Source organism: Homo sapiens, unplaced genomic scaffold (assembly GCF_000001405.40).
Source record: "Homo sapiens unplaced genomic scaffold, GRCh38.p14 Primary Assembly HSCHRUN_RANDOM_CTG9".
In the NCBI taxonomy this organism is placed as follows: Eukaryota; Metazoa; Chordata; class Mammalia; order Primates; family Hominidae; genus Homo; species Homo sapiens.
Genome location: NT_113889.1, coordinates 92093 through 111228, shown reverse-complemented (window position 1 = coordinate 111228; position 19136 = coordinate 92093). Strand labels below are relative to the sequence as shown.

The window sequence follows — 19136 nt, the reverse complement described above, 5'->3', positions numbered from 1 at the left end:
GTTTGTTTTATCAAGGCTTTAACTCGAACAGCAGATACAACCAGACCACTTTAAGGAATTGAGCTTGACTTTATAGCACCAATGCAAAGCCCCTTAGAATGACTGGCTTGGTGTCTTGTCTACAAGGGTCCTTTACAAAGTTGCTGTCCTTGTGGTAAGAAGTAAAGAATGTCACTTTCTGACGGGCCCAGGAACCTCAAGTTATTTGGGGACCTTGAGAAGATAGGACTACACCCATTCATAAAAGTATTACAGAAGAGCTGGCAAGATGTCTGAATAGGAACAGCTCCGGTCTGCAGCACCCAGTGGGATCAACACAGAAGGCAGGTGGTTCATGCATTTCCAACTGAGCCTCCACTGGTGATACCCAGGCAAACAGGGTCTGGAGTGGACCTCCAGCAAACTCGAGCAAACCTGCAGCAGAGGGACCTGACTGGTAGAAGGAAAACTAACAAACATAAAGGAATAGTATCAACATCACCAACATCAAAGACCAAAGGTAGATAAATCCACAAAGATGGGGAGAAACCAGTGCAAAAAGGCGAAAACTCCAAAAGCCAGAATGCCTCTTCTCCTCCAGAAGATCACAACTCCCCACCAGCAAGGGAACAAAACTGGACAGACAATGAGTTTGATGGATTGACAGAAGTAGGCTTCAGAAGGCGGGTAATAACAAACTCCTCCAAGCTAAAGGAGCGTGTTCTAACCCAATGCAAGGAAGCTAAGAGCCTGAAAAAAAAAGGTAGGATGAATTGTTAACTAGAATAACCAGTTTAGAGAAGAATATAAATGAACTGATGGAGCTGAAAAACCCAGCACAAGAACTTCATGAAGCATACACAAGTATCAATAGCTGAATCAATCAAGCAGGAGAAAGAATATCAGAGATTGAAGATCAACTCAATGAAATAAAGCAAGAAGAAAAGATTCGAGAAAAAAGAGTGAAAGAAATGAACAAAGCCTCCAAGAAATAGAGGAATATGTTAAAACACTGAATCTATGTTTGATTCGTGTACCTGAAAGTGACAGAGAGAATGGAACCAAGTTGGAAAACACTCTCAAGGATATTATCCAGGAGAACTTCCCCAACCTAGCAAGACAGGCCAACATTCAAATTCAGGAAATACAGAGAACACCACTAAGATATTCCTCAAGAAGAGCAACCCCAAGACAAAAAATCATCAGATTCACCAAGGTTGAAATGAAGGAAAAAATATAAAGGGCATCCAGAGAGAAAGGTTGAGTTACCCACAAAGGGAAGCCCATCAGACTAACAGTGGATCTCTTGGCAGAAAGCCTACAAGCCAGAAGAGAGTGGCGGCCAATATACAACATTCCTAAAGAAAAGAATTTTCAAGCCAGAATTTCATATCCAGGCAAACTAAGCTTCATAATTGAAGTAGAAATAAAATCCTTTACAAGCAAATGCTGAGAGATATTGTCACCACCAGGCCTGCCTTACAAGAGCTCCTGAAGGAAGCACTAAACATGGAAAGGAACAACTGGTAACAGCCACTGCAAAAACATAACAAATTATACAGACCATTGACACTATGAAAAATCTGCATCAACTAATGAGCAAAATAACCAGCTAGTATCATAATGACAGGATCAAATTCATACATAACAATATTAACCTTAAATGTAAATGAGCTAAATGCCCCCAATTGAAAGACACAGACTGGCAAATTGGATAAAGAGTCAAGACCCATCAACGTGCTGTACTCAGGAGACCCATCTCATACACATAGGCTCAAAATAAAGGGATGGAGGAACATTTACCAAGCAAGTGGAAAGCAACAAAAGGCGGGGGTTGCAATCCTAGTTTCTGATAAAACAGATCTTAAGCCAACAGAGATCAAAAGAGACAAAGAAGGGCACTACATAATGGTAAAGGGATCAATGCAACAAGAAGAGCTAACTATCCTAGACATATATGCACCCAATACAGGAGCACTCAGATTCATAAAGCAAGTTCTTAAAGACCTACAAAGAGACTTAGACTCCCACACAATAATAGTGGGAGACTTTAACACTCCACTGTCAATATTAGATCAATGAGACAGAAAATTAACAAGAATATCCAGGACTTGAACTCAGTTCTGGACCAAGGGGACCTAAAAGATATCTACAGAACTCTCCACCCCAAATCAATAGAATATACCTTCTTCTCAGCACCACATTGCACTTATTCTAAAATTGACCACATAATTGGAAGTAAAACTCTCCTCAGGAAATGCAAAAGAATGGAAATCATAACAAACAGTCTCTCAGACCGCAATGCATTCAAATTAGTATGCAGGATTAAGAAACTCACTCAAAACCTCACAACTACATGGAAACTGGGTAACCTGATCCTGAATGACTACTGGGTAAATAAAGAATTGAGGGCAGAAATAAAAATGTTCTTCGAAACCAATGAGAACAAAGACACAACGTCCCAGAATCTCTGGGACACATTTAAAGCAGTGTGTAGAGGGAAATTTATAGCACTAAATGTCCACAAGAGAAAGCAGGAAAGATCTAAAATTGACACCTTAACATGAAAATTAAAAGAACTAGAGAAGCAAGAACAAACAAATTCAAAAGCTAGCAGAAGACAAGACACAAATAAGATCAGAGCAGAATTGAAGGAGATAGAGACACGAAAAACCCTTCAAAAAATCAATGAATCCAGGAGCTGATTTTTTGAAAAGATCAACAAATCAGACCACTAGCCAGACTAATAAAGAAGAAAAGAGAGAAGAATCAAATAGATGCAATAAAACATGATTAAGGGGATATCACCACTGATCCCACAGAAATGCATATTATCATCAGAGAATACTACCAAGACTAAACCAGGAAGAAGTGAAATTCCTGAATAGACCAATAACAAGTTCTGAAATTGAGGCATTAATTATAGCCTACCAACCAAAAAAATTCCAGGACCAGATGGATTCACAGCCGAATTCTACGAGAGGTACAAAGAGGAGCTCGTACCATTCCTTCTGAAACTATTCCAAACAATAGAAAAAGAGAGAATCCTCCCTAACTCATTTTATGAGGTCAGCATCACCTTGATACCAAAACCTCGCAGGGACACAACAAAAAAAGAAAACTTTAGACCAATATCCCTGATGAACATTGATGCAGAAATCCTGAATAAAATACTGGAAAACTGAATCCAGCAGCACATCAAAAAGCTTGTCCACCATGATCAAGTCGGCTTCACCCCTGGGATGCAAGGGTGGTTCAACATATGCAAATCAATAAATGTAATCCATCACATAAAGGGAACCAATGACAAAAACTGCATGATTATCTCAATAGATGCAGAAAGGGCCTTTGACAAAATTCAACAACCTTTCATGCTAAAAACTCTCAATAAACTGGTATTGATGGAACGTATCTCAAAATAATAAGTGCTATTTATGACAAACCCACAGCCAGTAACATACTGAATGTGCAAAAACTGGAAGCATTCCCTTTGAAAATCAGCACAAGACAAGGATACCCTCTCTCACTACTCCTATTCAACATAGTATTGGAAGTTCTGGCCAGGGCAATCAGGCAAGAGAAAGAAATAAAGGGTATTCAATTAGGAAAAGAGAAAGTCAAATGGCCTCTCTTTGCAGATGACATGATTGTATATTTAGAAAACCCCATCATCTCAGCCCAAAATCTCCTTAATCTGATAAGCAACTTCAGCAAAGTTTCAGGATACAAAATCAATGTGCAAAAATCACAAGCATTCCTATACAGCAATAACAGACAAACAGAGAGCCAAACTGTGAGTGAACTCCCATTCACCATTGCTATAAAAAGAATGAAATACCTAGGAATACAACTTACAAGGATGTGAAGGACCTCTTCAAGGAGAACTACAAACCACTCCTCAAGGAAATAAGAGAGGACACAAACAAATGGAAAATCATTCCATGCTCATAGATAAGAAGAATCAGTATCGTGAAAGTGACCTACTGCCCAAAGTAATTTATAGATTCACTGCTATCCCCATTAAACTGCCATTGACTTTCTCCACGGAATTGGAAAAATATACTTTAAATTTCATATGGAATCAAAAAAGAGCCCGAATAGCCAAGACAATCCTAACCAAAAAGAACAAAGCTGGAAGCATCATACCACCTGACTTCAAACTATACTACAAGCTATGGTAACCAAAACAGCATGGTACTGGTACGAAAACAGATATATAGATCAAAGGAACAGAACAGAGGCCTCAGAAATAACACCACACATCTACAACCATCTGATCTTTGACAAACCTGAGAAAAACGAGCGCTGGGGAAAGGATTCCCTATTTAATAAATGGTGTTGGGAAAACTGGCTAGCCATAGGCAGAAAGCTGAAACTGGATCCCTTCCTTACACCTTATGCAAAAATTAACTCAAGGTGGGTTAAAGACTTAAACATAAGACCTAAAGCCATAAAAACCGTAGAGGAAAACCTAGGCAATACCATTCAGGACATAGGCATGGGCAAAGACTTCATGACTAAAACACCAAAAACAAAGGCAACAAAAGCCAAAATTGACAAATGGGACCTAATTAAACTAAAGAGTTTCTGGACAGCAAAAGAAACTATCAGAGTGAACGGGCAACCTACAAAATGGGAGAAAATTTTTGCAGTCTATCCATCTGACAAAGGGCTAATATCCAGAATCTACAAAGAACTTAAACAAATTTGCAAGATAAAACAACCCCATTGAAAAGCGGGCAAAGGATGTGAACAGACACTTCTCAAAAGAGGACAATTATGCAACCAACAAACTTATAAAAAAGCTCATCATCACTAGTCATTAGAGAAATGCAAATCAAAACCACAATGAGATACATCTCATGCCAGTTAGAATGGTGAAAATTAAAGAGTCAGGAAACAACAAATACTGGAGAGAGTGTGGAGAAATAGGAAGGCTTTTACACTGTTGGTGGGAGTGTAAATTAGTTCAACCATTGTGGAAGACAGTGTGGCTATTCCTCAAGGATCTAGAGCTAGAAATACCGTTTGGCCCAGCAATCCCATTACTGGGTATATACCCAAAGGATTATAAATCATTCTACTATAAAGACACATGCACATGTATGTTTATTGCAGGACTGTTCACAATAACAAAGACTTGGAACCAACCCAAATGCCCATCAATGATAGATTGAATAAAGAAAATGTGGCACATATACACCATGGAATACTATGCAGCCATAAAAAACGATGAGTTCATGTCCTTTGCAGGGACATGGAAGAAGCTGGAATCCATCATTCTCAGCAAACTAACACAAGAACAGAAAACCAAACACCACATGTTCTCACTCATAAGTGGGAGTTGAACAATGAGAACACATGGACACAGGGAGGGGAACATCACACACTGGGGCCTGTTAGGGGGTGGGGGCAGGGAGAGGGATAGCATTAGGAGAAATGCCTAATATAGGTGATGGGTTGATGGGTGCAGCAAACCACCGCAGAATATATATACCTATGTAACAAACCTGCACGTTCTGCACATGTACCCCAGAACTTAAAGTATAATTTTAAAAAGTAGGTTAAAAAATTATTACAGACACAGTCTGATGCAAATCTTTGACTTGGCTAGCTTCAAGGCTCTTAAAAGTCTAAGATTCCTCATTAAAAATTTCCAACAAAGCCAATTTTAAGAAGCCTATATGGCCAATAAATATTCTTGCTGCCCTTTATGGAAATAATCAGGCCCGGTATGATAAGACTAAAACTTATTTTGCATACAAAATTGGTCCTACTATGATTTGTCTTTGATAAAATGATGGACTAGAGAGAAAATTTATGTTCCAAAAGAAAACTATGACATATGCTATTAGATTCCAACCCTGATCATTGTTTTAGAGTTTTTATTATTTGCCTATAATTTGGGCTGAATCCTGAATTATTTCCTGGCTCCAAGTGTTCCCTAGTGAATCTGAATATAATATATTTTTTAAAACTTGTTTTATCCTGTCAGGAATGAGATGTATTTTTGAAGGACTACTTAAACTTAAAAAAAAATGAGACTGATTACACTCTACTCAAGACTGAAGACATGTACTTTAACCTGTCTCTGTTACCAGTAAACCAAAGCCTTAACTTTCAGAGTCTGTCAGGAACGCTGTGTGGTCCCTGGATCAACCACCCATGGGCTTATGAATGTGTTGACCGCTGGCATATGAGAAATAATTGTCAATTAGGTTATGTGACTCTTCCTCTTTCTATTTATAACTCCAATGTTTCTGAACACTGAAGTAGTTCATCGAAATTACTTTCCAGGATTAGACAAACCATACCTGCAAACCAAGGAGGTGAATTTTGGCCAATGTTTGGCAGAAGTCACTTGTAATGGTGGGGAGTAACCTCTCATGAACGTATAATTAGAAATCTGTCAACCACTCTAGGTAAATTAGCGAATGAACTAGCTGAAGCCATAGCTACCAAACAAAGATCTTTAGACTCTTTAGCCAGGATAGTCATGGATGACGGAATAACTTTAGGCTGCATAGTGGTGAAACACGGAGAAATTCATATGGCAGCTAGCTAACACATTATGTTGTGTTTAGATCCATGCATCTTCTGAAGTTGAAACAAATGTAAAAAAATAAGACAATATGAGAATTAATTATGACAAATCCTAGGGAAGAGGCTGAAAGAGCTGTAACACAAACAGGGCTGAGTCATGCCCCCTTGCTTGCCACATTGTGGGCAAAGAGAAGGAAACAAGAGCTGTGACCCTTTGGGAAGCCCAGACCTGGGAGCTCCCCGAGCCAGGGCTGTGATTCCCTATTTGGGGCCCTGTGGTTCCTGGTATCTCCAAGCTTCCGGGTGCCACTGTGTTCCCAGTGTGCCAGCTGTGGAAGCTGCTTGCGGTGCCCATGGTCCAGCCACAGACTTGTGGAGAGCTGGCACCCATGTTGGCACCTGGAGCTACCTGCCCCACTGCAGCAGCCAGGAAGTCTGACTGCACAGTGGCCAGACCCCATGCTTGCTCACACACCCCTTGCCACTCCACGCAGTCTCCCTTGGCAAACATGGGATCCAACCTGGTAGCATGAGCTGAGCACAGCCTGCCAGGCTAAGTGGGCGGGGCCCAAGCAAAACTCAGGTAAAGGTGCCACCAGCCATAGAGGTTTCTGTCCAGAAAAGTGACACTCCAAAGATCCCGTAACACCGCTACTCTTCCCAGCCTCTGGAAACTCTCAGTCTACTCTCCATCTTGATGAGTTCAATTGTTTTAATTTTTAGCTCCCACAAATGTGTGAGAACATGCAAAGTCTTTCTGTGCCTGGCTCATTGTACTTAACATAATGTTCCCTAGTTCCATCCACGTTGTTGCAAGTGACAGAATCTTATTGTTTTTCATGGCTGAAGAGTACTCCATTGTGTACATGTACTACATTTTCTTTATCCCTTCATCTGTTGATGCACACTTAGGTTGCTTCCAAATCTTGGCTATTATGAATAGTACTGAAATAAATATGGGAATGCAGATATCTCTTTCATATACTAATTTTCCCTCCCTTGGGTATATACCCAGCAGTGGGATTGCTGTATCATATGATAGTTCTATTTTTAATTTTTTGAGGGACCTCCATATTGTTCTCCATAGTGAAAGTACTAATTTACATTCCCACCAACAGAGTAAGAGGGTTCTCTTTTCCCTACATTCTTGCAAGCATTTGTTATTGCCTGTCTTTTGCATAAAAGCCATTTTAATGGGGGTAAGATGATATCTTATTGTAGTTTTGATTTGAATTTCTCTGATGATCGGTGATATTGAGCATCTTTTCATATACCTATTTGACATTTATATATCTTCTTTTTTGTTTTTGCTCATTTTTTGAGACAGTGTCTCACTCTGTCACCCAGGCTGGAGTGCAGTGGTATAATGATGGCTTACTGTAGTTATGACTACCAGGGTTCAAGCAATCCTCCCACCTCAGCCTCCTGAGTAGCTGGGACCACAGGCATGCATCACCATGCCCAGGTAGGTTTTTAAATTATTTGCTATGTTTTTCAGGTTGGTCTTGAACTCCTGGGCTCAAGTGGTCCAACTGTCTTGGCTCCCCAAAATGCTGGAATTACAGGTGTGAGCCACTGCGCCTGACCTGAATGCCTTCTTTTGAGAAATGTCTGTTCAGATTTTTTGCCCATTTAAATAATTGGATTATTAGTTTTTTTCTTATAGAGTTGTTTGAACTCCTTATATATTCTGGTTATTAATCCCTTGTCAGATATATAGTTTGCAAATATTTTCTTCCATTCTGTGGATTGTCTTTTCACTTTGTCCATTGTTTTCTTTACTATGCAGAAACTTTTGAACTTCATGTGATACCATTTGTTCATTTTTGCTTTGGTTGCCTGAGCTTTTGGAGTATTACTCAAGAAATCTGTGCCCAGACCAATTTCCTGGAGAGTTTCCCTAATGTTTTCTTTCAGTAGTTTCTTGTCCTTGATTTAAGTCTTTAACCCATTTGGATTTGATTTTTGTATATAGCACAAGAGAGGGTTCTAGTTTAATTATTCTGCCAATGACTTTGGGAGGATGAGGTGGGCAGATCATGAGGGCAGGATATCAAGAACATCCTGGCTAACACGGTGAAACTCCGTCTCTACTAAAAATACAAAAAAAAAAAAAAATAGCTGGGCGTGGTGGGGGCATTTGTACTCCCAGCTACTTGGGAGGCTGAGGAGGAGAATGGTGTGAACCCGGGAGGTGGAGCTTGCAGTGAGCCCAGATCGCGCCACTGCACTGCAGCCTGAGCAACAGAGCTAGACTCCATCTCAAAAAAAAAAAATTCTGCCAATGAATATCTAGTTTTCCCAGCACAATTTGGTGAAGAGACTGTCCTCTCCCCCATGTATATTCTTGGCACCTTCATTGAAAATGAGTTAGTTGTAAATGTGAGGATTTATTTCTGGGTTCTGTATTCTGTTCCATTGGTCTATGTGTCTGTTTTATGCCAGTACCATGCTGTTTAGCTTACAATTGCTCTGTAGTATAATTTAACGTCAGGTGATGTGATTCTTCCAGTTTTGTTCTTTTTGCTACGGATGGCTTTGGGTATTCTGGGTCTTTTATGATTTCATATAAATTTTAGGATTTTTTTTCTGTTTCTGTGAAGAATGTTATTAGTATTTCAATAGGGATTGCATTGGGTCTGTAGATTGCTTTGTGAAGTATGTGTATTTTAACAATATTTACTCTTCCAATCAATGAACATGGACTATCTTTCCATTTTTTTTTGGTGTCTTCTTTAATTTTTTTGCATTGGTGTTCTATAGTTTTCATCGTAGAGATCTTTCACTTCTTTTGTTACATTTATTCCTAGATATTTTATTTTATTTGTAGCTATTGTAAATGGGATTACGTCCTTGATTTTCTTCTTTAGATTGTTCAGTTTTGGCACTTAGAAATGTTACTGATTTTTGCATTTTGATTTTGTATCATGTGACTGAATTTGTTGATCAGTTCTGATAGTTTTTTGGTGGAGTTCTTAGGTTTTTCCAAATATAAGATCAAATCACCTGCAAACAAGAAAACAATAATAATTTTACTTCTTTCAATTTGGATGCCCTTTACTGTTTTTCAATTTTCTTGATTGCTCTAGCTAGGACTTCCAGTACTATGTTGAGTAACATTGTTGGAAGTGGACATTCTTGCCTTGTTCCAGATCTTAGAAGAAAGGCTTTCAGGTTATCTCTGTTCAGGATGATACTGGCTGAGGGTTTGTTGCATATGGTTTTTATTGTGTTGTGGTATGTTCCTTCTAAATCTAGTTTTTTGGGGGGTTTCTTTTTATCACAGGGAAATTGGATTTTATTAAATGCTTTTCAGCATCAATTGAAATTATCATATGTTTTTTGTCCTTCATTCTGTTGATATGATGTGTCACATTGATTGATTTGCATATGTTGAACCATGTTGGCATCCTTGGGATGAATCCCACTTAGACACGATGAATGGTCTTTTACATAGAATGATTTTGGAAATATTACAGACTTCTCTGTTTTTTGGAATAGTTTGAGTAGGATTGATAGTAATTCTTCCTTCAATGTTTGGTAAAATTAATCAGTGAAGCCATTGGATCCAGGTTTTTCTTTGCTAGGAGATGTTTTATTATGGGTTCAATCTCATTTATCCAGTTCTTCTAGGTTTGTGGTTTGGTTGTGGTTTTTTTTTTTTTTTTTTTTTTTTTTTTTTTTTTGAGATGGAGTCTTGCTCTGTCACCCAGGATGGAGCTTGGTACAATCTCAGCTCACTGCAACTTCTGCCTCCCAGGTTCACGCTATTCTCCTGCCTCAGCCTCTGGAGTAGCTGGGAGTACAGGTGCACACCACCATGCCTGGCTAATTTTTGTATTTTTAGTAGAGATGGGGTTTCACCATGTTGGCCAGGCTGGTCTTGAACTCCTGATCTCAGGTGATCACCTGCTTTGGCTTCCCAAAGTGTTGGGATTACAGGCATGAGCCACGGTGCCTGGCCATGACTTGCAGGTTTTTCAATTTATTGGAATATAGTTGGTCATAATAGTTTCTAATGATTACTTGAATTTCTGCAGTATCAGTTGCAGTGTCTCCTTTTTAATCTCTGGTTTTATGTATTTGAGTCTTCTCTCTTTTCTCTTAGTCTGGCTAAATGTTTGTTGATTTTGTTGGTCTTTTAAAAAAATATTAACTTTTCATTTCATTGATATTTTATATTTTTAAATTTCAATTTCATTTATTTCTGCTCTGATCTTTGTTATGTTTCCTTCTACTAATTTTGGTTTTGGTTTGCTCTTGCTTTTCTAACTATTTAAGATGCATTATTAGGTTGTTTATTTGAAGTTTTTCTACTTTTTTTGATGTAGGTGCTTTTTGCTATAAACTTACTCCTTAGTACTGTTTTTACTGTATCCCATAGGTTTGTTTTTTGTTTTTTTGTTTTTGTTTATTTTTGGAGACGGAGTCTCTCTCTGTTGCCCAGGCTGGAGTGCAGTGGTGCAATCTTGGCTTACTACAAGCTCTGCCTTCTGGGTTCATGCCATTCTCCTGCCTCAGCCGAGTAGCTGGGACTACAGGTGCCCGCCACCATGCCCAGCTAATTTTTGTTTTTTGTATTTTTAGTAGAGACGGGGTTTCACCGTGTTAGCCAGGATGGTCTCGATCTCCTGACCTTGTGATCCACCCAACTCGGCCTCCCAAAGTGCTGGGATTACAGGCATGAGCCACTGCGCCTGGCCTGTATCCCATAGGTTTTGGTTTGACTTTAAAGTTTTTCTCTTCTCAAAAACTTAGTGTCATGTTACTGGCTTCTAGAGCTTTGGGTAGTGAGACCCTTTTACTTGATAACAGTGGTAGCTGGGACAACTTGGCAATGTAAATAAATAAACGGCATCTAGATTGGAAAGGAAGAAGTACAGTTATCTTTATGTACAGATGACATGATCTTGCATTTAGAAAATCATAAGAAATTTACTAAAAAGTGTTAGGACTCATGAACAAATTTTGGAATGTAACACTATATAAGATTGGTATACAAAAATAACTGTATTTCTTTACCAAGAAATCAAGAATCCAAAAATGGAATTACAAAAATAAATCTTGTTACAATATAATTAAAGCTGGGGTAACTTTAACATAAGAAGCTTAAACTTGAACACTAAAAACTACAATGCATGGTTAGTGTTGGAAACACCTAGGTACCATCCCTGAGCCTTCTCTCCTTGGCTCTGAGGACTTTACCTTCACGGGGTGAGGAAAGGGTTTGCATTCTTGGCTTTTACATTATAGTAGGTGGGTTCGGGGTGAGGTATCTGCAAGTCAAATGACTATTACAATCTCTACTTTTATGTATAGGAGACTGGGGCCCACAAAGAGAGGGAATGACAATCCATATCCTGGAAGGCGAATTGTCAGACACTGATTTCCCCTATGTAAACCCTGCCAATCATCGTGTATTTAAAGGATCCCCGGATACCTTACCAATAGGTGTTCAAGAGAGAGGCCTGTAATCTAGGCGTCTGAGAAAGCAAGGCTAGATATTCCAATATTGGAGACAACAGGGCTCTGGGAAGATTAAGGTTGAGTTTTCTGGATCTGCAGAATAGAGTCACTGAGGAGCAATTGCAAGTTCAGAGGAGATGAAAGAACAAGTCAGGGCATGCTTAGGAAAAGAGAAAACCAGGGATAGATTTTAGGCAAGAGTCACACTGAGGAAGGGCAGGTTCTTGGCGTCGCTCAGGAAGGAATCCAAAAGCAAGCCTGTGGTGGAATAAAGCAGCTCTATGGAGACATTGGCGGTGTTACAGCCCTGCGTCCGCTCCTGCAGGGCAGGGAGCCCTCTGTGGGTTGTGCTCCCAGAGTAGCAGCCTAGGTGTGGCTTGTAGTCATTTTTATAATTCACTTTTAATGACATGCTAATTAAGGGGCGGGTTACTCAGAAATAGCTAGAAATGGGCAGTAACTTCCAGCTGTTTCCATGGCAAGGGGTGGGGACTTCCTGTGTTGCCGTGGCACTGGCAAACTGTCACGGTGCTGGTGGGAGCATCCTCTGGTGATCTGAGGCGTGAAGTGCTTTCGCTGCCTCTCCCAGTTTCCTCTGTGCCTCTTACCTGAAAGCCCTTCACACCCCCATCTACCCACCTACAAAGTTCACTGCCCTTTCACCCCACACCCGTTTCACACGCACTCCCACATCAACCCCAAGCATTCAAGCTGGCAATTTCCCTGTTAGGAACCTCGGTGGTAGCCGGAGCTCTGAAAAACCCCTAGGCAGAACTCCTTGCCTAGTTTGTGGCAGAAATCAGGGAAGGAAAGGCAAAGTTCAGGTATTTCGCACAATAAATAAATAAAGATAGGTAGATTTGATTGATGGATGTATGGATGAAACGTGGGAGTTTATGGGCAAATGTTCATCAGACACTGGAAGTGTAAGTTGTCACAAAGATTATGGAGTGCACTTGTCTTATGACCCTGTTATTTTATCCTAGTATATACACTAGAGCATTTTTTTCTAACTGTGTAAATTGAAAGCTCACAAATTAGTTTCGTGAGAGAAAAGATAACAGATTGGAAGAGAATTACCATATTCATTAGTTGTGTTTTTAAAAATTTAAAGTAAAATAGAGACATGATTTTTTTCATGCTTTCGAATGCATCTATAAAAAATAGACTTGAGGGCTGGGCGCGGTGGCTCACGCCTGTAATCCCAGCACTTTGGGAGGCCTAGGAGGGCAGATCACGAGGTTAGGAGTTAGAGACCAGCCTGACCAACATGGTGAAACCCCGTTTCTACTAAAAATACAAAAATTAGGCGAGTGTGGTGGCGCCCGCCTGTAATCCCAGATACTCAGGAGGCTGAGGCAGGAGAATCTCTTGAACCTGGGAGGCAGAGTTTGCAGTGAGCCAAGGTCGCACCATTGCACTCCAGCCTGGGTGACAGAGCGAGACTCCATCTCAAAAAAAAAAAAAGTTACTCATTAACAGCATAGACCAATTGTTTTCTATTGGAATTTCTCCATTATTTTCACAATGTCCCAGGCTGTGAAACCAGGATTTAATAACGAACCAGAATGCCACATCTGTGTCACGTGGGTAGGGACCAGTCCTGATCCATTAAGTCCGGGTCTCCGGGTAACTGGACTCACTGCTGGGCAAAACAGAATGTCCGGCGTGCGTTCCTAACGGGGGACCGCAGAGCCTCATAGGAAATGTAGTGTCACCTTCCAATGATGTTACCATCAAGGACCTTGGGAACCAGCTTTTCTCTCTGCGCATGCGCCGCCCCGCCCACTTCGCCATTTTCCTCCGGAAGTGCGGATCCCAGCGGCGGTCGTGTAGCTGAGCAGGCCTGGGGCTTGGTTCTATGTCCCTGTGGGTAGGTGCGAGGGCAAAGAGGAACCTGTGGGCCTCGGGGGATCCCGGGGGGCCAGACCAGTGTTCCCCATTTGTGGGGGCAGACGCTTGGGCGCATCGCGGGCAGGAGGGGCTTGACGTGCATTTGCGGGCCGTGGACCCTGGCGGGGGCTGGGAGGACAGACGTGGGGTCCCAGCAGTGAAGCGGGTTCCAGAGGCGCAGGAGTGGGTAGGCGAGGCTGGTGGCCCTGGGCCCGGAGTCTGCAGGCCGCGCTCCTGTCCTGCCACTGAGGGACCCGGTTACCAACCCTCATGTAGCTCAGTTTGCCCATCTGTCCCCGTGCTAACACACAGTTCTCGGGAGACGTTCCCCATTCCCAGAGGAGTAGTGCGAAATGCGTGTGCCTCTAGTCTTCAGCTGGGCGTTTGTATTAGTTGGGTTTCCTGGTGTCTATTTAGCAAGTGAAGTTTCTGGTTCCCTCCTTCACTGTGTGACCTGCCTAGTCCTCCTGGATTGCATTTATGGAAGTTTATACGAGACCTAGTTTCCATGGAGGAACTCACTGATTCCGCGAGGGAGATGGGGTACTGGATGATGGTCTTCAGCCTTAAGAGTACTTCAGTCTTCACTGTGTGTTATAAAGTTTGAAAGGGAGGGTTCCCTATGAATAAGAGGCGCACTTGAAAGAACAGCCCTCTGGTCTAACTTCTCACTGGTGCTTCAGAGGAGGATAAAAGGTCGCAGGTGAAGATCCCAGTTTTCCTCGCTCAGGAAATATTAATTCTACTCCCTAGAATGCACAAGATTTGCAAAGACTAGGTGATAGTGGAAGGTTTGGAAGAACTTTCAGAAGGTTGAGGTGAATTCAGCTGAGAAGAACAGGCAAGGACCTAGGAAATATTCCTTATTTGAAGGGGCCTGAAAGTGTGGTCTGGGGTGCAGGAGTGACCTGTCATACTTGAAAAGATTGAAATACTCTCCAAATACAGTCCCATTCCTTCAAACTTAGCTTGTTGTTTCCAGTGTCTGAGATATATTAAACCTAGTCCATCACCAAATTTAGCATAGATTGTGAAGTTCTATTGATTGCATTTCATTTGTAATTTAAGACTTTCTCCCCCTACATAATTTCGTTAAAAACATATTGAATTCTATTCACTTAGGTGTAACAGTTAATATTTGCTGTTTAAGGAACTAATTAAACCTTACTAGCTTATAAAAAACAACCACCATTTTATTTGTTTGAAGTTCTGTGGATCTGCATTTTGGTGTGGTGGGTTCAGCTGGGTAGTTGATATATTTGTGTTGCCTGGATCACAAAACAGGCCTTAGTCACCTGGTGCCTTGACTGAGCCTGGTTGGTTTAAGATAGTTTCCTTCACAATCTGGTGGTTTGTGGTGACTCTTGGCTAGGCCCTGTGTTTCCAACAGGGTAGCTCCAGACCTCTTCACAATATGACTGTGTCCAAAAAGGCAAGAACCAATGGATATTTGCATCACATTTTCCATTGTCCATTCACTGGACAAGTCAGATGGAAAAGCCCAATTTATTGTCAGAGCATAATATGAGGGCTTGGATACAGGGAAAGGTGTTATTGGGAAACATGAGTAGAACGGTGTACTGCAGGAAATACATATTATGTACATTTTAAAAAACGTAGGCCAAAATTGCTGGGTTGCAAGATGCACTTTCCATGATGTTCAGGTATAGAAAAGCAAGATGTACTGTCATGGGAATACTCATAAGAAGTTATCTGTGGAATCCACATGTTAATAGGAAAATAGTTAATACAGCCCAGTATATTTCTATAACATTTATTTTAGTGAACTTATAATGTTTCTTTGTATTAAATTATTAGATTATATCTTTAGGTAATATTGTTACTAAATTTGTAGGTACTACATATTTTTATTCAAAAATAAATTGTGCATCTAATGTCTACCAATTAATGTACTTGTAGATGTATCTTATCTTAACTTGAGTCTTTGCTGCCCCTAATGAGGTGTGAAGGACTCTTCTCCCATGGGGAAGTTTTTCTTTTTCCGGAGGGAGGAGGGCTTTTCCAGGTAATGTGTCTAGAGTGTTGGGCAGAAGAATCTGGGACCACACCTCACCAGTTCTCTCCTTAATCGACATCATTTGCCTTCTCTTCCAGCTATGTTTCCAGTGTCCTCTGGGTGTTTCCAAGAGCAACAAGAAACGAATAAATCTCTGGTGAGTTTTTTATTTGTTCTTCACTTTGTTTTACACTGTATTTTCTGAGTTTATGGGTGTCTGTGAATTAAAAAGGAAAAGTGGAAATAAGTAAAACTCAGGTTGAAGGAAATATACATAAATAAGATAAAGCTGACCTGTAGATATAGACAGGTTATAAAAGCTTAGAGTTGTCTAAGTTGAGTGCAAAGTTTCCTCTGATCTTTCTGATGCCGAAACAAAAAAGGCAGTCATGTTTGTTACGTGATTGGAATGGAACCCGAAAAGAGAGCATGCTGTGTTCTTGTGGGACAGGAAAGCTTGTGTGCACCAAGTCTTAACCACCACCTTCATTGGTGACATAGATTATGTGCTGGAACATATTTCACACCGGTCTGGCAGTAAGCACTTGTAGTGTTGTGCAGTGGAAACAGTCATCTTCCGCTAAGGCATGGCGTGTTGTGCAGTGGAAATGGTCATTTTCCGCTAAAGCATGGCGTGTTGTGCAGTGGAAATGGTCATCTGACGCTAAAGCACAGCATGTTGTACAGTGGAAATGGTCATCGTCTGCTAAAGCACGGCGTGTTGTGCAGTGGAAATGGTCATCTCCTGCTAAAGCACAGCTTCCATCATAAGGTATGCTCCTTGCTCAAAGAGTGTGGTCCCAAACAGCTTTTGGGAGGTCCTCCTTGACTCATGGATGAAACCCAGAACATCTTGAGGACTGAGTTAACCACAGGTCCTTAAATAACTCTCCACACATTTTTCTTAGTTTATCTCTACATGCAGGGTGTGCAGCAGCCTGTTCAAAGTCACATTTTCTGGGAAATATTTTCAGTGTTTATTTGCAATTTAGCCCACTCTGTGTAGTCTTAACTTATTTCTTCTAAACTCACCATTAACCTAAATAATAGTCAAATTTAGGGGGGCTGTATTTGTCTTACTCGAGTCTTCTACCATAGTTGAAACTGTCGTACCCAAACGAGTTACAGAGAAATGCCACACTTTGAGACGAATTCAGGAGTCCTTTATTAGCTGGTGACTGAGAGACGGCTAACACAGGAAATACTCTCGGCCCTAAAGAATGGGCTAGATTTTCTTTTATACATTGGTTTAGAGAGGGGAGGGGGGATTCCAGCTGCAATAAACTTACAGAAGAAAAAACAGACAAAAAACTTAAAAAGACAGATGGTTACAGGAAAACAAACTGTTCCAGGTGCAGAGGCTTTAAATTCACCACAAAGTGATGAGTGAGGGGGCTCTGGGCATTATCTTCCAGACAAATGTGGGGGCTTTATGATATTATCTCTGAGTAATTTGCTGGGAACTGCGGACATCACTTGCCTCAGCACTTTATCAGTTAATTGCACTCTTTGATATGTTGAAAATCAGCTTGCACAAGTTAAAGTCCTTGAGGAAAGGGGGTGGGTAAGGAGCCCTTGATGTCTTGTAAATGAAGGAGCCAAATGGAGTTTGTCTGGTTTTCTCAGCTAAGGGAGAGTCTATTCATATTAAAAACAAGGTTAGCTATCTAAGGAAGAGTCTATTCATGTTAATACAACGTTGGGTATTATAAAACATCTGTTCATGATCTGGAAATTCTTCCGTGTTAGTTCTGTTAAAAGAAAAACTTTAAAGGAGTTTAATTGAGCAATAAACGATTCATGAATCGGAAAGTCCCCAGAATCACAGCAGATTCACAGAGACTCCAGCACAGTCATGTGGTGGAAGAAGATTTGTAGACAAAAGGGAAGTGGCATACCGAAATCGGAAGTGAGGTACAGAAACAACTCAGCGTTTGCCTTGTTTGAGCACAGTTTGAACATTTGGCAGTGCCTGAGTGGTTGAAGTTTGGCCATTGGGATTGACCAAGATGTAGCTGTTGTTTGAGGTGCATACACTCAAGTTAGGTTTTCATTCTTGTTTACCTATTAAGGTAGGTTGCAGGTCATCCACAAGGACTCATATATATAATTATGGAGTCCTTCTCAGGACATACTTAGTTCACTTTAACAATGCCTTCCCTTTGGTTATTTTCTCAATTTTGAGAGACTGGCCAAAACTTCAGTCACTGGTGTCACTATTACCCTTGCAAATGTACTTATTTGGTTTAGAAACCCACTGGGAAATAGAACAGTGAGATTTGAAAAGGTGGAACAAGGACTTGAGTAGAAGGTGTCTTCTTATGCTGGAACATCCTGTTTACAGGAGAAAAACAAAACCTGGTTTGTTCTAGGATTTATGTGTTTCCTTAAAGTCTTAGTTTGATTATGTTCCATTTAACATGAGTGACTCCATTTTGGTTTGGTTTGTTCTGTTGGGACCTATTGCATGAGCTTAGTTCAAAACAATGGCCTCCCATAATTTTGCTTAAAAAATTCCTCCTTTTGGCTGGGCACGGTGGCTCATGCCTGTAATCCCAGCACTTTGGGAGGCCGAGGTGGGCAGATCACGAGATCAGGAGATTGAGACCATCCTTGCTAATACGGTGAAACCTCATCTCTACTAAATACACAAAAAAATAGCCAAGCATGCTGGCGGGTGCCTGTAGTCCCAGCTACTCAGGAGGCTGAGGCAGGAGAATGGCCTGAACCCGGGAGGCAGAGCTTGCAGTGAGCCGAGATCATGCCACTGCACTCCACTCTGGGGGACAGAGCAAGACTCTGTCTCAGAAAAAAAAAAAAATCCTCCTTTTCAGTCAAGTTCTCACTTAGTTGAGAGTGTGACCAAAATGTAGGGCCTTAGCCTCACTCTTAGTTACCATTGTTTTGGGTTTCCGGTTTAGCACATCACTCCCATTGTTTTGGGTAATGGTTTTAGCACGTCACTCCCATTGTTTTGGGTTCTGGTTTTAGCATGTTACTCCCATTGTTTTGGGTTTCTGGTTTAGCATGTCACTCCCATTGTTTTGGGTTCTGGTTTTAGTACATCACTCCCATTGTTTTGGGTTCCGGTTTTAGTACATCAGTCCCATTGTTTTGGGTTTCTGGTTTAGCATGTCACTCCCATTGTTTTGGGTTTCTGGTTTAGCATGTCACTCATAGGTTACGGTGTCCTTATGATTGCACATTTTTTTAATCTGTTGTCATTCCAGTTGAAGAG

The 19136-nt window shown here is 40.9% G+C and overlaps 1 pseudogene across 2 annotated transcripts in view; it reads left to right on the top strand.

Moving 5' to 3' along the window:
• Positions 1–13771: 13771 nt before the first annotated feature.
• LOC100233156 (tektin 4 pseudogene) overlaps positions 13772–19136 on the top strand; it is a 58668-nt pseudogene continuing 53303 nt past the window's right edge. For both annotated transcript variants that reach the window (NR_037871.2, NR_037872.2), the window contains exons 1-2: positions 13772–13861; positions 15997–16055. The product of NR_037871.2 is annotated as a tektin 4 pseudogene, transcript variant 1 (transcript). The remainder of the gene's footprint in view (positions 13862–15996; positions 16056–19136) is intronic.